This window comes from Homo sapiens, chromosome 8 (genome assembly GCF_000001405.40).
Source record: "Homo sapiens chromosome 8, GRCh38.p14 Primary Assembly".
NCBI lineage: Eukaryota > Metazoa > Chordata > Mammalia > Primates > Hominidae > Homo > Homo sapiens.
In genome coordinates, this window is record NC_000008.11 from 47,099,597 (window position 1) to 47,123,925 (window position 24,329).

At 37.7% G+C, this 24,329-nt stretch overlaps 1 protein-coding gene across 1 annotated transcript; it reads right to left on the minus strand.

The window, feature by feature from the left end:
• Positions 1 to 1,323: 1,323 nt before the first annotated feature.
• LOC105375817 (POTE ankyrin domain family member A-like) lies at positions 1,324 to 23,861 on the minus strand. The gene is made up of 5 exons (XM_017014129.1): positions 23,821 to 23,861; positions 22,611 to 22,777; positions 11,573 to 11,603; positions 10,814 to 10,955; positions 1,324 to 1,596 (listed from the first exon to the last, which is right to left on the minus strand). Exons 2-5 carry the CDS (start codon positions 22,763 to 22,765, stop codon positions 1,358 to 1,360), a joined length of 567 nt encoding a protein of 188 aa, XP_016869618.1. The 5' UTR covers positions 22,766 to 22,777; positions 23,821 to 23,861; the 3' UTR covers positions 1,324 to 1,357.
• Positions 23,862 to 24,329: the final 468 nt, after the last annotated feature.

Here is a 24,329-nt window from a genome sequence, read left to right on the forward strand (position 1 = left end):
CAGACGTAGACTTGGTCTTTTCACATAGTCCCATATTTCTTGGAGGCTTTGCTCATTTCTTTTTATTCTTTTTTCTCTAAACTTCCCTTCTCACTTCATTTCATTCATTTCATCTTCCATTGCTGATACCCTTTCTTCCAGTTGATCGCATCGGCTCCTGAGGCTTCTGCATTCTTCACGTAGTTCTCGAGCCTTGGTTTTCAGCTCCATCAGCTCCTTTAAGCACTTCTCTGTATTGGTTATTCTGGTCATACATTCCTAAGTTTTTTTCAAAGTTTTCAACTTCTTTGCCTTTGGTTTGAATGTCCTCCCGTAGCTCGGAGTAATTTGATCATCTGAAGCCTTCTTCTCTCAGCTCGTCAAAGTCATTCTCCGTCCAGCTTTGTTCCGTTGCTGGTGAGGAACTGCGTTCCTTTGGAGGAGGAGAGGCGCTCTGCTTTTTAGAGTTTCCCATTTTTCTGTTCTGTTTTTTCCCCATCTTTGTGGTTTTATCTACTTTTGGTCTTTGATGATGGTGATGTACAGATGGGTTTTTGGTGTGGATGTCCTTTCTGTTTGTTAGTTTTCCTTCTAACAGACAGGACCCTCAGCTGCAGGTCTGTTGGAATACCCTGCCGCGTGAGGTGTCAGTGTGCCCCTGCTGGGGGGTGCCTCCCAGTTAGGCTGCTCAGGGGTCAGGGGTCAGGGACCCACTTGAGGAGGCAGTCTGCCGGTTCTCAGATCTGCAGCTGTGTGCTGGGAGAACCACTGCTCTCTTCAAAGCTGTCAGACAGGGACATTTAAGTCTGCAGAGGTTACTGCTGTCTTTTTGTTTGTCTGTGCCCTGCCCCCAGAGGTGGAGCCTACAGAGGCAAGCAGGCCTCCTTGAGGTGTGGTGGGCTCCACCCAGTTCGAGCTTCCCAGCTGCTTTGTTTACCTAAGCAAGCCTGGGCAATGGCGGGCGCCCCTCCCCCAGCCTTGCTGCCGCCTTGCAGTTTGATCTCAGACTGCTGTGCTAGCAATCAGCGAGACTCCGTGGGCGTAGGACCCTCCCAGCTATGTGCGGGATATAATCTCGTGGTGCGCCGTTTTTTAAGCCGGTCGGAGAAGCGCAATATTCGGGTGGGAGTGACCCAACTTTCCAGGTGAGTCCGTCACCCCTTTCTTTGACTCGGAAAGGGAACTCCCTGACCCCTTGCGCTTCCCAAGTGAGGCAATGCCTTGCCCTGCTTCGGCTCACGCACGGTGCTCGCACCCAGTGACCTGTGCCCACTGTCTGGCACTCCCTTGTGAGATGAACCCGGTACCTCAGATGGAAATGCAGAAATCACCCATCTTCTGCATCACTCACACTGGGAGCTGTAGACCGGAGCTGTTCCTATTCGGCCATCTTGGCTCCTCCCCCCAAAGTGGAGAGTTCTTGCTCCCATTCATCTTTTTCATGTTCTAACTGTAATTGTGTTTCTTTTGTTTCAGACAGCTTCTTTTGTAGTACATGAATCATATTTTCCATTTGTTCAATTTCTATTGTAAGTTGTTCACAGTGATTACTTTTAAGTTCTAGTAAGTGTTCATCTGAAAGAACTGCATCCTGGATTTTTGATAGGCTAGCAGAATCTGCATTGGGGGAAAACAAGGTGGAAATAAAATATATGAGTACTTTTTGGATATAAAGTCCTGTGCATTTTAACATTCACCCATCCATACACCAAACAAATATGCACTGAGTTCCTACCATGTGGAAGACATTCTACTGAGCTCTGCAGATAAAACAAACAGTAACTCTGTTCTTGTTTAGCTTTAGGTGTAGTGAAAAACAAATACTAAATTACAAATTCAGATAGATGCTGCAAGAAAACAGTTCTATGATAACACAGAATTTGATCTATACTGGGCTCAGGAAGATTTCCCTGGGGAAGAGATGGCTACACTGAGTAATGAAGGGTGAGAAGGAAGCAGTTAAGTAAAGGGAGTAGAAAAGCATTCTAGCTAGTCTACGGCATGTGCTGAAGCTCTGCTGCAGTCTGCTTCTGGCCACAATGGAGCAGCAGATACTGATTTACCTTCTTGCCTGAAACAAAAACAAGAAAGACAAAATACACAATACAATGATTTTCAAGAACATGGACTGCAGGTAATGAAGACGATGATCCCTGTAAGACAGGAAACAAATGAAGTAAGATTTACAAACACCCCAGCAAACTGACTGGACAAAGTTTCCAGGCCATGACAACAGGAGAAAATAAAATTGAGGTAGAGTCCGCCAGATTCCCTGAATTGGAACAACGAAGCTGAGAGGCTCAAAAAAACATCAAGGCAGACAGAAATCACAAAACAGAACACTGGAAACGAGAGAACAGTATAGGAGAAGAACAATAAAGATCTGCAAAAATACCCTCTTGGGTATTTATTTAACAGAGTAATGAACAGTATATGTGTGCTAGGAAACTACTTGAGACCAGGTCGAAAAAAATCCTTAAAAAATTAAAAGAAACAGTGCCTGTTGCTCACATAATATACCAGGAAGAGTGTCCATTCCTATGACTGATACTGGAAAAACTTCACAGGGCAAAGAATAGCGTTATTAGAAACACCTTGTCTCGAGTGGAAAGTTAGACCAAATCATAAAGCAAGACCAGAAAGATCAAGTTGTTTATAAGTAAGTCAACTGTGTCCCCAAATAAATCTCAAGTAGAGGCAAAGAAGATATTTCTTGAAAGCAAATTGCACTAGTAGGAATTAAAATTAAAATGTTAGGACTGGGCCAGGTACAGTGGCTCATACCTGTAATGCCAGCACTTTGGGAGGCCGAGGCGGGCAGATCACTTAAGATCAGGAGTTCGAGACCAGCCTGGCCCACATGGTGAAACCCCATCTCTACTGAAAATACAAAGAATTTAGGTGGCCATCGTAACAGGCACCTATAACCCCAGCTACTCAGGAGGCTGAGGCAGGAGAATGGCTTGAACCCGGGAGGCGAAGGTTGTAGTGAGTGGTGATCAAGCCACTGCACTCCAGCCTGGGTGACAGAGCAAGACTTGGTCTCAAAAAAAAAAGTTAGGACTGAAAACAACACTGGATGGAAGTAAATACAGACTAGATATCACAAAAAATAAAATTCATAAATTTGAGACATCAGAGAACTATGAGAAAATTTTAAGCAACAATATATAAGTCCCCAAAGAGGGAGGAAGACAGAAAGACAAAAACATAAAGATAGTGGCCAGAAACTTTCTAAACGTAATAAAAACTATAATCCTACAAATCCAGGAAGAATCTGGCTGGGAGAGAGAAAATGAAAGTATACTACTCTAATTTTCTTATGCCATATATGATATTATATAATATTGCCTGAAGGTGAGCTATGATAAGTTAAAATCATACAGTACAAATTGTAATGCAACCACTAACACAGCAAAAAAAGAGTTATAGACAATAAGCCAAAAAAAGATAAAACTAAATCATAAAAATTACATAACTAATTGAAAAGAAAGCAGGAAAAGAAAGGAACAAAGAACAGCTGGAACTAATGAAAATCAAACAGCATGACAGATAAACTTAACTATTAATATATCAATAATCACATTATAAATAAAACTGGCCTAAAAACCTAAAAGACAGATTGTCAAACTGTATAAAAAGCAAGATCCTACTCCATGCTACCTATAAGAAACACACTTTAAATGTAAAGATGCAAATTAAAAGGATGAAAAATATAGACCACACAGTTGACAAAAGAAAGCTAAGCAGGAATGATTATGTTAATACAAAAGTAGATTTCACAGCAAAAAAATATTACTAGCTATAAACAACATCATTTCATGATAAATGTTCAATTAATCAAGAACATATAACCCTAAATGTTTATGTACCTAGTAACATAACAGCTTTGAAATACATGAGGAAAATACTGATAGAACAAATTGACAAATTCACAGGTATAGTCTGAGTTTTCAGTATTGCTTACTCAATATGTGATAGAACAAGGAGGCAGAAAATCAGCAAGATGAGAGTAGACTTGAAGAACACAATGCTTCTCAACTACCCTTGGAACACTTAGTAAAACAGACCATATTCTAGGCTATACAATAAATCTTCATAAAAGAATTAAGTCAAAGGATTTAAGTCATAGAAAGTATGATCCCTGACCACAAAGGAATCAAATTAAAATCACTAACAAAATATCTCATCAAAATACTCAAAAATTTAGAAACAAAGTAACACCCATCTAAATAACCCTAGGTCAAAGACATAATGCAAAGAGAAATTAGAAACTATTTTGAAGTGAATAAAAATGAAAATAGTCCATATCAGAATTTGTGGACTAAAGCTACAACGCATTTAAAAAGTTAGCACTGAATGTCTATACTGGAAGACTCTCAAATCAATGGCCTTGACTTCTATCTTATGAAAGTAAAAAAGAAGAAACTACAAAAAGAAAAAAAAGAGAGAGAGAGAGAGCAAATTAAACCCAAAAGAAGCAGAGGAAATAATATAATAAATATCTGCTATGGTCTGAACATTTGTGTCCTCCCAAAACTCATATGCTGAAACTTAATCAAAGAAGTGATGTTATTAGGAACTGCAGCTTTGTGGAGGCAATTGGCTCATGGAATCCAAGCCCTCATGAATGGGATTAGTGCCCTTATCTGAGACACCAGAGAGCTCATTCACCCCTTCTGTCATATGAAGCACACAGGGGAGAAAAGGGAAAGTAGGAACCAGGAATTGATCCCTCACCAGACATTCAATTTTCTGGCACCTTGATCTTGGATTTTGCAGCCTCCAGGAATATAAGAAATCAGTTTCTGTTGTTTATAAGCTACCCAGTCTATGGTATTTTGTGACAGCAGGCCAAACAGATGATGACATCAAAGATAAAACCAATAAAACAGAAAAGGGAAAATCAATAAAACCAAACAGTTCGAGGTCAATGAAAGTGATAAACCTCGATCTAGCCAGGCTGATAATAAAAAAGATAACAAATTACTAATTTCAGAAATAAGTAATGTGACTTTTTTTTTTTTTTTGGAGATACAATCTCGCTCTGTTGTCTAGGCTGGAGTGCAGTGGCACAATCTCAGCTCACTGCAACGTCCACCTCCTGGGTTCAAGAGATTCTCCTGCCTCAGCTTCCTGAGTAGCTGGGATTACAGGTGCCTGCCACCAAGCCCAGCTAACGTTTGCATTTTTAGTAGACGTGAGGGGTCTCACCATGTTGGCCAGGCTGGTCTCGAACTCCTGACCTCAGGTGATACACCCTTTTTGGCTTCCCAAAGTGCTGGAATTACAGACATGAGCCACGGTGCCCGGCCCAATGTGACATTTTTATACATTCTACAGATATTAAAAGAATGGCAAGATAATAATGTGAGCTTTATGTAACTAACCATGACAACTTAAATTAAATGGACACATTCCTTGAAAAATAAAAATTACCAAAGCTCAATCAAGAAGAAATAGATAACCCAAATCCCCTTATATCCACAAAAGAAAATAAAGTTGAGAAAACTCCAAGCTCAGACAGCTGTGCTGGTGAATTCTATCAAACATTTTAGGAAGATGTAATATAATTTTACACAACCTCTCCCCCAAAAAATAAAGTGGGGAAATACAACACAACTCATTCTATAATGCTAGCATTACCCTGAACCAAACAGTGATATTACAAAAAAGAAAACTCCCTCATGAACGTTGACAAAAAATTTAACCAATTTCTGAAGCAACCAAGATATCCTCCAATAGGTGAGTGAACAACCTCTAGCACAGTCATATAATGAACTATTAGTCAATGCTAAACAAAAATAAGCTATCATGTCATAAGACATGGTGGAAACATAAATGCATATTACTAAGTGAAAGATGCCAATCTGAAGGATATGCACTGTATGATTTCAACTATATGACATTCTAGAAAAGGCAAAACTATGGATACAGTAAAAAGATCAGTGGTTGCCTGGGGTTGAGGAGGGAAGGAAAGGCAGACAGGTGAAACACAAAGGAATTTTAGAGCAGTAAAAATAATTTGTACAATACTATAATGATGAATATATGTCCTTTCCAAACCCACATATTGTAGAATGCCAGGAGTGCACACTAATATAATCTATGAACTTCGGATGATTATGACGTGCCATTTTGGTTCATCAATCATATCAACTGTACCACTCTAGTGAGGGATACTGATAATGGGAAAGGCTATGCATGTCTGGGGACAGGAACTACACAGACAATCTCTGTACCTCTCAATGTTGCTGTGAACCTAAAACTACATTAAAATAGTCTTTTAAAATTTCTAAACAAAATTTTGGCAAACTGGATACAAATAAATACAGGGTCTAACTTTGTTGCCCAGGTTGGTCTCGAACTCCAGCTTCAAGCAATCCTCCTGCTCTGACCTCCCAAAGTGCTGAAACTACAGGCATGAGCCACCGTGTCCAGCGCCAATGATATACTATTTTTAAAAAGCCTACATCCTAAGCAAATGGGTTTTATTCTAAAATGCAAGGTTGGTTTAACATTAAAATATTAGTTATTCAACTAATTAAAAAACTAAAACAGAAGAACCTTATGATTATCTCAGTAGATAAAGGCATTTGATAAAATTCAATTTCATTCTTGATTAAAAAAAAAACCCTCTCAGCAATCTAAGAATACAAATGAACTTCATCAGCATGACACAAAGCATCTATGACAAACCTACAGCTAACGTGTATCACAATGACACACTGAATGCTTTCCCCATATCAGGAACAACACAGGAATGTCTGCTTTCAAATCTTTAGTAAGCTTTATGCTAAAGATTCTAGCCAGTGGTGTCAGACAAGAAAAAGAAATAAAAGGTATCCAGGTTGGAAAGAAGAAGTAAAACTGTCTTTATTCACAACCATGATCACATAATAGGGGCAGATAAACTACAACCTGTGGGCCAGCTTCTTGTTTTATTGGAACACAGCTGTGTTCATTAATGTATGTATTCTCCCTGGCTGCTCTCATACTACAATGGCAGAGTTGATTAGCTGCAACAGAGACTGTTCTGCCGCAAGTCTGAAAGATTTCCTATCTTTAGTAAAACAGTAGTTTGAGAATGAAAATATTTGATGATCATTGTTGTATGTATAAAATATGATCAAATATACCAAAAAAGTTACTAGAACTAATAATAAGTAAGTTTAGCAAGGCTGGAGGATACAAAAATCAACATACAAAAATCAGCTGTATTCCTATATACTAGCAATAAACAATTAACTTGAAATTTAAAAAAATATCGTAACTTCATTTAAAAAATGAGATACTGATGAATCAGATAAAATATGGAAACACCAAGGCTGGGTGCAGTGGCTCACACCTATAATCCCAACACTTTGGGAAGCCAAGCCTGGAGGATCACTTGAGGTCAGGAGTTCAAGACCAGTCTGGCCAACATAATAAAACCCCATCTCTACTAAAAATAAAAAAGTTAGTTGGGTACGGTGTCTCATGCCTATAATCCCAGCTACTCAGGAGGCTGAGGCAGGAGAATCATTTGAACCCAGGATGCAGAGGTTGCAGTGAGCCAAGATTGCACCACTGCACTCCAGCCTGGGTGACAGAGTGACACTCTGTCTCAAAAAAAAAAAGAAACACATATTTAAAAAACTACAAAATATTACTGAGAAAATTAAATTTGTCCTATATAAATAGGAACAATTTCATAGGAGAGGAACAATTTCATAGGAGTGGAACAATGCATTATCATTAAAATGTCAATCCTCCCCCAATTAATGTATAGATTGAATACAAACTCAGTGTAATTCCCAGAAAGACAGCAGGCTTTTTTTTTTTTTGAGATAGAGTTTCACTCTTGTTGCCCAGGCTGAAGTGCAATGGCACAATCTCGGCTCACTGCAACCTCTGCCTCCTCAGTTCAAGTGATTCTCTCCTGCCTCAGCCTCCTGAGTAGCTGGGATTACAGACATGCGCCACCACACCTGGCTAATTTTGTATTTTTAGTAGAGATGGGGTTTCTCCATTTTGGTCAGGCTGGTCTCAAACTCCTGACCTCGTGATCTGCCTGCCTCAGCCTCCCAAAGTGCTGGGATTACAGATGTGAGCCACCGCACCCGGCTGACAGCAGGCTTTTAAAAAAAAAAATAACAATCTGATTCCAAAACTCATGTGGAAATGCAAAAGATCCAGCATAGTCAAAATAACCCTTAAAAAAGAAGAAAACCAAAGGGCTGATGTCAAGATTTAGTATAAATTTACAGTAATGAAAACAGTGTGTTACTATTACAGGTGGAATAGCTCTCAAAGTGTGTGGTACCAAAAGTGTTTTGGGTTTTGGAATATTTGCATATATATAATCAGATATCTCGAGGGTGGAACCCAAGTCTAAACACAAAATACACTTATGTTATATACACCTTATACGTAGAGCTTAAATGTAATTTTATGGAATACTTTTAGTAAATTTAGTTTGTGTACTTGAGGTCTAGTGTGAAATTTTCTACTTGTGGCATCATGTTGGCACTCAAAAAGTTTTGGATTTTGGAGCATTTCTGATTTTGGATTTTGGTATTAGGGATGCTAGACCTACATAAAGAAAGCCAGAAACCAATTTAAGATGGTTCTACTTAGAATTTTTCAACTGTACGATGGGTTTATTGGGGTATTTTTTTTTTGAGACGGAGTCTCGCTCCGTCACCCAGGCTGGAGTGCAGTAGTGCTATCTTGGCTCACTGCAAGCTCCACCTCCCAGGTTCACACCATTCTCCTGCCTCAGCCTCCCGAGTAGCTGGGAATATATGCGCCTGCCACCACACCTGGCTAATTTTTTTCTATTTTTACTAGAGATGAGGTTTCACCGTGTTAGCCAGGACAGGATGGTCTCGGTCTCCTGATCTCGTGATCCGCCCATCTCAGCCTCCCAAAGTGCTGGGATTACAGGAGTGATCCCAGCCTACTGGGGTATTAAATGGATTTTCAACTTATGATTGGTTTATCAGTGTAACTCTAGAAGAATATGTAGATCAATGGAACACAACAAACAGTCCAGAAATAGACCCACACACATACAGCCAACTTATTTTTCACAAATGCACGATAGCAATGTAGTGGAGAAAAGAGAAAGCCTTTTCAACATATGTGGCTGGAACAATTAGATATCCACATCCATAAAATGAACTTGCATCCACACCTCACTCCATAAGCAAAAATGTACACAATGTGGATCACAGATATAAATGTAAGACCTAAATCTATAAAAATTCTTCAAGAAAGCAGAGGAGAAAATCTTTGGGACCTTGTGCTGGACAAATACTTTTTTAGATATGACACAAAAAGCAAAATCCATAATTAAATGAACACATATATCAGACTTCATCAAAATGAAAAACTTCTTCTCTTTAAAATATATTAAGAAAACAAAAGGTCAAGCCACAAACTGGGAAAAAAAATCCTTCCAAAAAGCATAATAAAGGAATAATATCCAGAATCTATTAAAAAAAAAACTCTTAAAACTCAAGAAATAAGAATAAAAACTATCTAATTTTTAATTCTTTTTTTTTTTTTTTTTTTTTTTTTTGAGACAGAGTCTCGCTCTGTCGCCCAGGTCGGACTGTGGACTGCAGTGGCACAATCTCGGCTCACTGCAAGCTCCGCTTCCCGGGTTCACGCCATTCTCCTGCCTCAGCCTCCCAAGTAGCTGGGACTACAGGCGCCCGCCACCGCGCCCGGCTAATTTTTTGTATTTTTAGTAGAGACGGGGTTTCACCTTGTTAGCCAGGATGGTCTCGATCTCCTGACCTCATGATCCACCGGCCTCGGCCTCCCAAAGTGCTGGGATTATAGGCGTGAGCCACCGCGCCCGGCCCTAATTTTTAATTCTTTATAAGCTCTCCATTTCACTAAAGAAGATATACAGGTGGCAAATAAAGCACTCGGGAACATGTTCAACATTCTTAGTCCTTAGGGTAATGCACATTCACACCATAGTGACACGCACAACATGCACCCATTGGAATGGCTAAAAACTTAAAACTAATAAACAGCAGTACTAAGAGCTCATGACGATATGGAACAAGGAGAATTATCATATACTGCTGATAGGAATGGAAAATAGCACAAATACTTAAACATTTAGTAGTTTCTTAATAAGGGAATACAAAGGGACAGGAAGAGACTTTTATGGATGATGGGTATGTTATCGGTCTTGATTATGGTGATGGTTTTGCATGTGCATACATATGCCAAAACTTATCAAATTTTACGTTTTATATATGTGCTGTCTATCGTATATCAGTTATGCCTCACTAAAGCTGTCAGTTGCAGGAATAAACATCTAAGACAATAGCTAGGACAAAGAGGAAAAAAGTATATTAAATGATGCAGGAGAGAGCTCAAGTATTCAAATCTTAACCTTATAGCAATGGCAAGTGGTAAGCTGAGGTATAAGCAAGAGATAACATCAGATCTGAATTTTTAAAAATTAATAATTATAGTTTCAGAGTAGACCATGGTCTCAGGAAATGGGGTAGCAAGAAAAACAGTTCTAAGGTTATTGCAGTATCCCGAGTGGGAGAGAATGGTAACCTGATCTGAGAATAAGGCATATAAGAGAAGAAGAGTCAACAAAAATGCTGAGACTGCCCTTCATACTGAGAAAGGCACCGTGGAGTTATCATAGCTTTGGTATACAATATACATTATTTCTCAGTCTACTTTAACGTTAAACATATTTCTGAGATAAGCAACACTATAACACGTTAGTGCTCTATGGTGCAACGCTAAGCAATGTGTGCAAATATTACTGTAGGATACATAAAAAGTCATTCTACTTATGCAATGGTCCTACCGTTAAAATCCATTTTGATTTGTTCAGTGAGCAACATAAAAGTCTCATAATTAGGGTAAGGCAAATCGTAATCCTCTGAGGCTATTTCAGATGGCCACGTTATGTCATCAAGGTCATCCACTGAATGTATTTCACTTTTGACCTGTGAGTTAAATAATACTGCTTCAAATGTCCTCAAAATATTTACAGAATATTCTAGATGTACAGAAGTGGTATTTATTCATCTTTTTATATGAGCAAAACCACAGGCACTTCTTAAAACAACAGATTTTTCTTAAAAGGGTACCATTATCAATGGCTAGGCTACTCTTTCTTAAGCCCTTTTTTCTTTTCCTAAGCACTTTTTTTTTTTTTTTTTTTTTTTTTTTTTTACAGAGTCTCACTCTATTACCCAAGCTGGAGTGCAACGGCGCCATCTCGGCTCACTACAACCTCCGTTTCCCAAGTTCAAGCAATTCTTCTGCCTCAGCATGCCGAGTAGCTGGGATTATAGGAATATGCCACCACACCCGGCTAATTTTTGTATTTTTAGCAGAGACGGGGTTTCACCATGTTGTGCAGGCTGGTCTCAAACTCCTGACCTTGTGATCTGCCTGCCTGGGCCTCCCAAAGTGCTGGGATTACAGGCATGAAACACCACGCCCGACCAAGCCCTTTCTTCCTCACTACATGTCTTTATAACCAAAGATTCTCACTTAACCTTTTATAATGTGTTTTTTTCTTAACAATAATGTTTTAGATAATTTAATTTTACAATACCGTGTTCTTTTCATTAAATTTCTTTTCAGGCCTGAAAAAAGAAACAATTCCTTTTAGACAAATGGTAAACACATAAAATACAAAGAATGTCCAAAACTATTATTTTATTATATAAAATCTCTGCATTTATAAGTTGTTTCTTCTTTTCATTAAGTGTTCAGGTCATTTTTAACAGGTAATGTAAATATAATTATTTTCCATAAGGGGAATTAAACTATAAACAGAAAGAGTAACATTAAGGGAGACAAAATATGGTAATAATATCATTACAAAGAATTAAATTTAGATCAAGCTTTCTGACAGTCAAGACAAAAGGAAAAACACATTACTTGTATTATGTGATAGAAATAAATATACCAGAACTTCTCACTGTTGTCCTTTACAATAAAAACAAGCTTCTACTAACACTAAAACCTATTTGGAACATATTACTTATGTTCTTATATGAGGGGAACCCTTTTTAATGATAATATTCACTTTTTCAGGACTTGTTATGCAGGTACTATGCATCATTCTAAGCACTGTGCATTTGTCAAGCTCATTTTAATTATCATAACAATTCTGTGAGGTAGGTAACATATTAGAGATTCTATAAAGGGAGAAACTAGGCACGGAAAGGCCATATAAATTTCCCCAGCCCACAGAGCTGGTCAGTAGTCTACACAGCATTGAAACTCAAGAATTCTGCCTCTAAAACGTGTGTTTTGCAATATCCTGTGAAGGTAATATTTATTTCCAAGTGTTTTTAAGAGATATGATAGCAGATGAATCCATATTATCATTACATTTTTGGCTATAATTATAACTAATAATTTCTGAATCTTGCACTTTTAAAAAAAATAAAAAGACTTTATACGGAGGCAAGTTTGGAAACCTACTACTTTCAAAACACTAAAAATTTATTTTTTAAAAGAAATTAATCAATGGCATTCATTCATCTCTTCAACTGTTTATTCATGCATTCAACAAATACTCGTTGGGCACACAACACATGCTGATGACACTGTTGTCCAAGGGAAACATGGTTTTGATGCTTTCAAACTTTACAATCCTGAAGTAATAATCTGCAATAGTTTGTCAATAGTTTGCTTTTCTCAAGTTCATGAACAAAATCCTTCCCTACTCCCCAGAATCTAAACAACTGTAAAGTTGATACACCTGATATTTTAGAGTAAGTAACTCAGCAAATCATGGCTACTGTCAAAGGTACTGCAATATGTACAATTATGATGAAATATTTAAGTTCTATTCATCATGGCATAAGTGTGTGGATGTTTATTATAATTATTTTTAAAAATCTGTGTATGATAGCTTAAGATTTAGGTCATCATCTGCATGTTCAGTTACACTAATGTTACACTTCTAAACCAATTCTGAAAAAAACAACTCTAATCATAAAACTATACATGAATAGGCTGGGTGCGGTGGCTCACCCCTGTAATCCTAGCACTTTGGGAGGCCGAGGTGGGCAGTTCACTTGAGGTCAGGAGTTCAAGACCAGCCTGGTCAACGTGGTGAAACCCCGTCTCTACTAAAAATACAAAAATTAGCTAGGCGTGGTGGCACATGCCTGTAATCCCAGCTACTTGGGAGGCTGAGGCAGGAGAATTGCTTGAACCTGGGAGGCAGAGGTTGCAGTGCGCCAAGATCGCGCCACTGCACTCCAGCCTGGGTGACAGTGCAAGACTCTGTCTCAAAAACAAAACAAAACAAAACAAAAACTATACATGAATAGAAGTTCTAAGGACAATTAGTTTGCTAAACACCCATAAAAATAATGAATCAAGCTAATGCTGAGACATGCAACCAAGTAAACAAAATAACATTTCATAAACATGTTCTTCTACTATGGATCACTCCCAAAAGTAAAAAAAAAAAAACTCTAAAAATTTCTGTTTTGAAATACCAAAAGAGAGAAAACTCCCTCAAATCCTCAAATCCCACATTCTTTTTCAGTTACTGCCCATTTCTCTATTGCCTTTCTCAGTAAAGTTCCTCTCAAGAGTTGTCTACGTTCATCTACTACAGAGTTCCATGGCTACCATTTATTGACACTGCTCCTAGTCAAAGTCACTAATCCTTATTGTAATCAATCTTTCAACAGCATTGATATAGTTGAGTACTCTCCAGCTTTGAGAGACTACATTATTCTATTTCCAAAAATAAAAGTAATCAGTGTTAACATTCCTTCCCGGAGATTTCTTTCTTTTTTTTTTTTTTTTTTTTTTTCCAGACGAAGTTCTGTTCTTGTTGCCCAGGCTGGAGTGCAATGGTGTGATCTCAGCTCACCACAACCTCCACCTCCCAGGTTGAAGCAATTCTCCTGCCTCAGCCTCCCAAGTAGCAATGGCGCAATCCCAGCTCACCACAACCTCCGCCTCCTGGGTTCGAGCAATTCTGCCTCAGCCTCCCGAGTAGCTGGGATTACAGGCATGTGCCACCATGTCTGGCAAATTTTGTATTTTTAGTAGAGATGGGGTTTCACCATATCGATGAGGCTGGTCTCAAACTCCAGACCTCAGGTGATCTGCCTGTCTCGGGCTCCCAAAGTGCTGGGATTACAGGTGTGAGCCACCGCGCCTGGCCTACCTTTTTTTTTTTTTTAAGTTCTGGGATACATGTGCAAAACGTGCAGGTTTGTTACATAGGTATACATGTGCCATGGTGATTTGCTGCGCCTATCAACACATCATCTAGGTTTTAAGTCCCACATACATTAAGTATTTTTCCTGTTATCCCTCACCTTGCCCGACAGACCCCAGTGTGTGAAGTTCCCTCCCTGTGTCCATGTGTTATTGTTCAACTCCCACTAATGAGTGAGAACATGCAGTGTTTGGTTTTCTGTTCCTGTGTTAGTTTGCTGAGAATGATATTTCCAGCTGCCTCCATGTCCCAGCAAAGGACATGAACTCATCCTTTTTTGTGGCTGCATAGTACTCCATGGTGTAAATGTGCCACATTTTCTTTATCCAGTCTATCATTGATGGGCATTTGGGTTGGTTCCAAGTCTCTGCTATTGTAAATAGTGCTGCAATAAACATATGTGTGCATGTGTCTTTACAGCAGAATGATTTATAATCTTTTGGGTATTTACCATGTAATGGGATTGCTGGGTCAAATGTTATTTCTGGTTCTAGATCCCTGAGGAGTTGCCACACTGTCTTCCACAATGGTTGAACTAGTTTACGTTCCCACTAACAGTGTAAAACCATTCCTATTTCTCAACATCCTCTCCAGCATCTGTTGTTTCCTGACTTTTTAATGATCGCCATTCTAACTGGCATGAGATGGTATCTCATTGTGGTTTTGATTTGCATTTCTCTAATGACCAGTGATAATGAACTTTTTTTCATATGTTTGTTGGCTGTGTAAATGTCTTCTTTTGAGAAGTGTCTGTTCATATCCTTTGCCCACTTTTTGATGGGGTATTCCTAGAGATTTCTTATAAAGGACTTGTAAATTTTACCTTCTTTCATCCTCATCTATTTCACTTAAACTGCTGTCATCATTTATTTGTAGCAGACCGTGAGTTAGTAAATTGACCTTCTCAAACATGGGTGTAATCACAGATTATTTTGAGGTCCGTTTTTTATTTTCATGTTTCTTTACTTTCTTCACATGCAAGGCAAACCACTATTTTAAAAAATCTATAAAAAGCCAATGTTTTCCAATAACCCTATTGACAATGAACAAAAAAAAAAATTTTGTAAAACTCCAACTCTTCTCCATCTCAATCCACTTATTAATTTAAAAAATGGTTATAAAGTGCAAACAACATAAAAGGAAATGTGCATTCCCTGCTTCAAAAACAAGGTAATATACAATTATGATACAATGTGTTATGTAAAAGTTGATATATAAAAAGTTATATTTTAGCACAGGGAAGGCTTTAGAGAAGAGGTAAAATATAAGAGGAGCCCAATTAGGAAAAATCATTAAGAGAAAACCATTCTAGTTAAAAAACAGAATGTGAGCACAAAGATTAAGCATACGAAGTCTAGATGCTTACTAAAAACTTGAAAGGAAAAGTGTAAAATACTTGGAAGCTAAGAATAGATGAATGCTACACGGATTTGAATGCTACATTAAAAAGCTGGAGTCCACTGAATACAGGCAATGACTGTTAAACATGAAAATCATAATTAGATTTGAGCTATATTTCTGTTTCTATTATTCACTATAATAATGTTTACCTTTAAATGAAGTTTTGAAAATAGCTGTGGCACATGTAACATGAAAGATTAAGTCAGGAAAATGTCCTGAGAGAGAGTGTATTAGTCCACTTTCACACTGCTAAAAAGAAATACTGAGGACCGGGTAATTCATAAAGGCTAAGCTGCACCTTGGCCCCTTTTAGCCACAGCTGGACCTGTAGCAGCTGAACACAGGGCACCAGGTCCTGAGGCTGCACACAGTAGCAGGGCCCTGGGTCCAACCCATGAAACCACTTGTTCCTTCTAGGCCTCTGGGTCTATGATGGGGGTGGCTGCCATGAAGATCTCTGACATGCCCTGGAGATACTTTCCCCAGGCCAGCTTGCATTCCTCCCCAGAAAATGGGCTGTTTTTCTTTTCTACCCCATGGTCAGGCTACAAATTTTCCAAATTTATGCCCTGCTTCCTTTTTAAACATAAGTTCCAACTTAAAACCATCTCTTTGTGAATGCATAAAGCTGAATGCTTTCAGAATCAACCAGGTCACCACTTGGAATGCATTGCTGCTTAGAAATTTCTTCCACCAGATACCTGAAATCATCTCTCTCAAGTTCAAAGTTTCACAGATTTCTACGGAAGGGGCAAAATGTCGTGAGTCTCTTTACTAAAACATAGCAAGAGTCACCTTTGTTCCAGTTCCCAAAAAGCTCCTTATCTCTATCTAAGACCACCTCAGCCTGGACTTCATTGTCCCTATCACTATCAACATTTTGGTAAAAAAAAAAAAAAAAAAACCATTCAACAAGTCTGTAGGAAGTTCCAAACTTTCCCGCGTCTTCCTGTCTTCTTTTGAGCCCTCCAAACTGTTACAACCTCTTTCTGTTACTCAGTTCCATAGTTGCTTCAACATTTTCAGGTTATCTTTATAGCAGTATCCCACTATCCCTGGTACCAATTCTTTGTATTAGTCTGTTTTCACACTGCTATAAAGAAATACCTGAGACTGGGTAATTCACAAAGGAAAGAGGCTTAATTGATTCACAGTTACACATGGCTGAGGAGGCCTCAGGAAATGTACAATCATGGCTGAAGGGGAAGGGGAAGCAGGCACCTTCTTCACAAGGTAGCAGGAGAGAGATAAGTGAAGGGGAAAGAGCCCCTTATGAAACCATCAGCTCTTGTGAGAACTTCCTACCACGAGAACAGCATGGGGGAAACTGACCCCATGATCCAATCACCTCCCACCAGGTCTTTCTCTCAACACCCGGAAATTACCATTTGACATGAGATTTGGGTGGGGACACAAAGCGAAACTATATTGGGGGGTATCCTTAGAAATATCTAATTTCTAAATTTCACTATTTATATTTCAAAAATAGCAGTTTTTGATTAGTTATGATTTTGTTGGAAAATAAAATGATCTGGTAAATTTTCTTCATTTAGCCTAGTATTTAGTCAAAATATAAAAAGCCAGATTTGCCAGCAGAAAATTGTAATTACTTTTTAATGAGGTAAACATGCATAAGAATATTACTATTATTGTACAGAGAAGAGAGTAAACAAGAAAAGGAATTTAAAAAGAGAGAATATCAGTACCATATACATACATGAACTGACAAAGAGACTAAATTCTCCCACTGGAAATTATTTTAGGACTTGAGTAAAAACTTCTAAAAATACCAAAAACAGAAACAAAACACTTGTTTTTAAGATATAAATTATGCAGAGAACTCTTCTGGTTAAGACAAGATTATATATCAAAAAAAAGAAGACCTTCCTGAGAGCTTTCATTAACCAATTCAACTTGACCAAAACTTTAAAATTAAGTCTACAATTCTGGAATATAAAATACTTTCATTTTGAAAACAGTTAATGGAAGGCAACTTTTAAATAGAAAATTTCTGGTTAAAGTTGACTCAAACTCAGGAAAAAACTGACTTGTAGCCATGGTAACAAGAAGCCACTCAAAGGTTCATAATCCCTTGGAAAGAATTTGTAAGTCCATTAAATTTGCCACTCAAAATTTTTTAGATAAAATACCAGTAAAATTTGCAATTCCTCTGACTCATTTTGCCATAATTACAATTATCATGATTACCAGTAAAAGAATAAATAGTGAATAACCACAATATTGGGCTTTTCTCCCTAAATGAAGGAATATTAATATAAAGAATGTAGCTCATTATAAAGAGCCAAAAGAATAAAAAAATGCATATAATTACCAGGCAAAATTGTTAGAATGAACCATGTCAAACATTTTTTAAGTGAGAATCAATCAAACAATATACCCAGGATAAACTCCATTCACTCATTTAATAAGTATTTATGGCCGGGCACGGTGGCTCACGCCTGTAATCCCAGCACTTCGGGAGGCAGAGGTGGGTGGATCACGAGGTCAGGAGATCGCGATCATTCTGAGAAACATGGTGAAACCCCAACTCTACTAAAAGTATAAAAAAAATAGCCGGGCGTGGTGGTGGACACCTGTAGTCCCAGCTACTTGGGAGGCTGAGGCAGGAGAATGGCATGAACTTGGGAGGTGGAGCTTGCGGTAAGCCGAGATCATGCCACTGCACTCCAGCCTGGGCAACAGAGTGAGACTCTGTCTCAAAAAAAAAAAAAAGTATTTACTAGGTAGCTACATACAATATGTTAGGCCTTTTTCTAGGCAGTGAGGATATGGTAGTGAACAATAAAAATCCTATTCATGAGAATGAGATAAACACACAACAATAGATAAGGCAAAATATACAGTATGTTAGAGGAGAAAAACTAAATCAGGAAAATGAAATGTTTATGTGTTTAAGGGGAAGAGTGGTGGGAAAGTTGGGATGGCCAGAAAAGTCCCTGCTGAGAAAGGGTATTTTAATTAAAGAACTGAAGGAATGGGAAGAGTAAGCAGGGAGGATATCTGGGGGAAAAGTATCCCAGACAAAAGGAACTGCCAAGTACAGAGGTGTGCCTGGAGTCTTTAAACAATAGGGATATATAAGGAAAAGCAAGAAGTTCAGTGTGGTTGAAGCAGAGCAAAGGAGATAAGAAATAGAAGTTTAAGTGGGAGGGATAATATGCCAGATGGTGTACTGTCTTTTAGTTATTAGGAGGAACTTTGATGCATACTCAGAGTGAAATGGGAGGCAATCAGAAGGGCTGGGGCAGAGGAATGACACAATTTGATTTATGTTTTAAATACATCCACTGAGTTAAGAATTGATTTAAAGGGATTTTTTTTTTAAACCAGAACTATCAATTACCAGTCTATGACTCTCATCTAGACTACAGACGATGGTCACTCAGATGTACAATATATGACTGGCTTCTGGATATATTCTTCAAGTATACTTGATAAGATATGCTGATAGATTAGATGTGAGGCATCAGAGAGAGAGAAAGATGAGTCAAGAATGACATGAAGGTTTTTGGCAAAGCAAATGGAAGAGTTGCCATTTACCAAAGTAGGAAAGACTACATGAGGTGTAGATTTCAGGAAGGACATCAGTAGCCCAATTTTGGGCTGACAAGTGTGTGCTACCCAATAGCTAACCAAAGAGAGATGTCAAGTAGGCAGGTTGATATAGAGATCTGGAATTAAGGAGAGAGAACCGAGCTGGAGACATACATTTGGAAATCACTAGCATATACACAGTAGAAAAAGTCACAAGGGTCCGGGGGCAGTGGCTCACACCTGTAATCTCAGCACTTTGGGAGGCCGCGGTGGGTGGATCACCTGAGATCAGGAGTTTGAGACCAGCCTGGCCAACATGGGGAAACCCTGTCTCTACTAAAAATACAAAAATTAGCCGGGTATGGTGGCATGCATCTGTAATTCCAGCTACTCAGGAGGCTGAAGCAGGAGAATTGCTTGAACCCAGGAGGTGGAGGTTGCAGTGAGCTGAGATCGTGCCACTGAACTCCAGTCTGGGCAACAGAGTGAGACTCTGTCTCAAACAAACAAAAAAAGGAACGAAAGAAAGAAAGAGCCATGAGAAATAGGATTTGGGACTGAGACCTGGGAAACAACAATGTACAAAAGGTGAAATCTGAGGAGGAGCAAGTGAAACAGACCATGATGAACAGAGTAGAAAGACAGGATGAAAAGCCTGAGGGAGTGAAGTCCTGAAAGCCAAGCGAAGACGCTGTTAGGGAGAAGATGTCCTCCAACGGGTCAAATATTGCTGACAAATTAAATAAAATGAGGTGTAAGAAAAAATGCCTAGATTTATTACAGAAAAAATTAGTGATAACCTTGAGAAAAACAATTTTGGAGGAGTGCTGAAGTTGAAGACTACTGGCATGAGATCAAGAGTGAATGGAAAGAAAATTTGAGTTTGTGAGTGTAGACAGTTCTTTTAAGGACATCACACTTAGGAGTCATGACTGTGAATAATGTAATTTGCTTCCACAGTCATGAATAGTGATAGATAAGAAACAGTAGTTTTCAAACTTTATGTAAATGGTGCAGTTTTCAAATTTTATATAATTACATATTTTAAAGGTTATAAAAATTATACAATATGGTATTTAAAAATGCCAGACCAACATATTACATTCTTAAAATTATAGAACTAAAAGCCCCCTTGAACATTTCTAGATTACATAAGCTCATTATCATTTTGTTCATGCTTATAAATAGACTAATACTAAAAGTTTCAAGGGAAGTATTTCTTGCTTCATAAAAACCAGGCAATTCTAGGACAGTTGATACTCATCAAGTATACAAAGTAATTGATCACAGTAAAATACTGAGTTCTATTAACAGAAATAAAACAGGAAAATGCAGAAAATAATCTTATTTTATCAATGAAATTTTGAAAATTATATGAAGTATAATTATATGAATTATATGAATATAAAAATTATATGAAGTCACCGTTGAAAACTATGGTGCGGTGAATACAGAAATATATTCTGTTTTCAAAGGAAGAATAATGTCATGTGTGCAGGGCACTTTTACAAATAAAAGTCACTGTATTAGCAGCACCTTCCTTTTAGCACAAGAGTCAGCGAATTAGCACTTGTGGGCCAAATCCAGCCCACTGCCTGTTTTTGTAAATAAAGTATGTTGGAACACAGCCATGCTTATTCACTTTCTAGTCCATAGAGTCAATTAGCTAGGTGTGATGTTGCACACCTGTGGTCCTAGCTAGTAGAGAGGCTGAGGTGGGAGGATCACTAGAGCCCAAAAAGTCGAGGGTGCAGTGAGCCATGATCATGCAACTGTACCCCAGCCTGGGCAACAGAGCGAGACCCTGTCTCATAAGAATAAATATATATAGTCCACAAAGCCTAAAATATTTACTAACTGGCTCTTTGCAGAAAAAGCTGGCCAACTCCTGGTTTAGTAGATCAAAGATCCTTTGATGCATTTTAACAAGTTTTACCCAATATACTGAAATGTTTATATGAAATATAGATCCCCATGTGCAATCCCTTGGCAATATTCAGATTGAGGTTTCAATATTTCAGCACTCAGGCACTGACAACTAAAATTTAATAACTAGCAATCTTGTTGCTGACAAGTTACAGTGTCAACATAGCATGTAGCTTCCATTTGCAACATAGCAGATATTACAAGAATTCTAACAAAATTGTCTTAAGATGTGTCATCAAACTAAATGTTTTAAATACACGTTTATTGTGAAATAATCAGTACACTCTGGATCTAACCTCATTTTTTAAAAAATGGTTGCATACTGGATGGGCACGGTGGCTCATGCCTGTAATCCCAGCACTTTAAGAGCCCAAGACGGGCAGATTACCCGAGGTCAGGAGTTCAAGACCAGCCTGGCCAACATGGTGAAACCCCGTCTCTACTAAAAATACAAAAATTAGCCGGGCATGGTGGCACACACCTGTAATCCCAGCTACTCGGGAGGCTGAGGCAGGAGAATTGCCTGAGCCTGGGAGGCGGAGGTTGCAGTGAACTGAGATCATGCCACTGCATTCCAGCCTGGCCGACAGAATGAGACTGTCTCAAAAAAAAAAAAAAAAAAAAAAAAAAGGCTGCGTACTACATTATTTTCTGGGTTTGAAAATTCAGTTATTTCCTATTGATAAGGACTTACAGTAACTCCAGCTTGTTGATATAATAATGCTGTAATAAATGTCCTTATACATAAGTATATATGTAACGAGTATATATGTATATAAATGTATATAATGTATATAAGTGTATATAAATATGTATACACATATATACACAAATATCTTTAACATACATATATTATATATCCTTACTATATGTGTGTGTGTGAATATGCTACTAAATTAACACTCAAAATGTATTTACCAACAGGGTATGAGAATGACTTTTTCAATGAGACCATTTCCATTACAGTAACACCGATGGAGCTGGTGGCCATTATCCTAAGCAAACTAACGCAGGAACAGAAAATCCGATGCCACATATTCTTACTCATTAGTGGAAACTAAACAATGAGAACACATGAACACAAAGAGGAGAAGAAGACACCAGGGCCTACTTGAGGGTGGAGGGCAGCAGGAGGGAGAGCACCAAAAAACTACCTATCTGGTATTTTGCTTATTATCTGGCTGATGAAATAATCTGTAGCCCAAATCTCCATGATATAGTTTACCTATATAACAAACCTGCACATGTACCCTTAAAACTAAAATTAAAGTCCACTAAAAAGAAAAGAAAATGCCTTTTCCCTCACATTTGCCAATACTGGTTATTTTTCAAATAAATTAATGACTGGAAAAAATGGTAACACATTGTTTGCTGATTTTCATTCTTCTGATTACCAGACAAGGCTGCATATCCTAGTAAAAGTATAAAATTTGTTCATCATGAATATTAGCCCAAATTAGGATTAGTTTGAATGCACATAGTTATCTCCTGTTAAATGTTGCCATAGGCTTACCTATGATATTCTTCATTCTCTGTGCTAGGAAATTGCTGATTTTCAGGCTTTCTGCTCTTTCTTTGTGGAATTAATCCATCATCACCATTGCCAGCAGTGGCACCATCAGTCAGGTTTTCTGATATTCCCACGTTATTACTTCTGTGCCTCTGCATTTCTTCTTCAACCTTGAGTGGAAGTTTGATATTAAGGATGGTTATTGCTTTATTGAATAAAAAGAACCTTTTAATTTTAATTGATTTTATCACTTGACTCAGTTTGTTACTTTAGTTATTAAAAATATTTCACACTTAAATTTAATCATATATACAGAACTGTTACCATACAATTTTAAGATGCAATTATTATATCATTAGTATAACACTGAAATTTTTGTAAAGTTTCCTTCATTTCTGTTTGAATGAATAAGATAATTTTCAAAAATTTCAAAAAGGGACCTCCTTCATTTTGTGCTTTTATTCCCAACCACTCTTCAGAATCTAATATAAATAGTCACCCCATCTGACTTGTGGGAGCACACAAATAAAAATACAAAGATGCAAAATGTGTCTTCTTCCATCTTTACCACCTGGATTTTCCATTAAACAGTCAGATTTAGAGGATGAGACACTGTGGGGCTTCAGGAATAGAAAGGAATATTGCCCTTTTCCACACTACGATATTCTTCTCCCCCGCTGCCTTTGATTATTCTTTTTTCATTTGGTTCCTGGGATATCAAAAATATAAAGGTGCTCACTGCAACATGGGAACCAAAGTTTGCCACAACACAAGGAGGAGAATAAAACTGCTGAGGTGCTAGCATGGAATTCCAGAAAATGAGATGCTCCCCAAATTTCACATTCAATAGCCATAAAATTTTCTAGCTGGAGGATATACAAAATAAGAGATTATCTTCTTTAGCCACATTATCTATTGATAATCAGACTAAAACCAAGAGATAAAATGATTGATCCAAAGCTCCTAAAGTGGCATTACCTACCATTTTATGGCACCATTCAGGATTATTCCATAATGATGAAGAATATCTCTACGGTTTGTCTCTAAAACTCAATGTACAGAACTTAGCGTTCTGAGTTAAATACTAAATTTTTCACTGATGATTTATGCTATTTACATGATAGAATCATACATGCCTAAACTTACTACACTTTGTTAAACAACATAATGTAAAAATCTAATTCAACAGAAATATTTGAATATAAAGGTATACCTCTCTATCACAATCCTTATTTATGTCTGGTTCTTGAGACATTTTCTGCAGATGCAAAAATAGAAGGTTAATTTGCTTGCTGTATTGCTCAGATGTCTGCTCTTTTGAAGTACATGCTTTTAAAATAATTTTACTCTTAAGTAATCAAGTATGGACAATGAAAAATTAGAAAATAATTAAAATTAAAATTTACCTGCTAAAGTAAATAAATAATTAAAATTAAGAATTAACTTTTTAATCTATGTTAAGCTACTGTCACATCACTGGCTTCTGAGTAACACTTGAAAAATAATTTATCTTAGCCAAAGGGAGAAGAAAAACATGAACCAGCAAACGTAACTGTGTCACCATTTGTTTGGATTAAACTTAATTCATTATGTGTTAAATCTACCAAAAATGAATTAGCAGATGATTTGTAGTGTTGCAAAGACTTCCTCATTGAAAAGATTTTACTTCACCATACCCTAACTAGTGAGTCCCTACAGTGCATTTAAGTGCTTTTTTAAAAG

Excerpts from the sequence above, each read along its gene's own strand:
- LOC105375817 (XM_017014129.1), bottom strand. The coding sequence starts at position 22,765 with ATGCAGAGGCACAGAAGTAATAACGTGGGAATATCAGAAAACCTGACT. Across the intron at positions 11,604-22,610 it reads GAGAATGAAGAATATCATAG|GCCTGAAAAGAAATTTAATG; the intron begins GTAAGCCTATGG and ends TTCTTTTTTCAG. Across the intron at positions 10,956-11,572 it reads AATTTAATGAAAAGAACACG|GTCAAAAGTGAAATACATTC; the intron begins GTATTGTAAAAT and ends TTTAACTCACAG.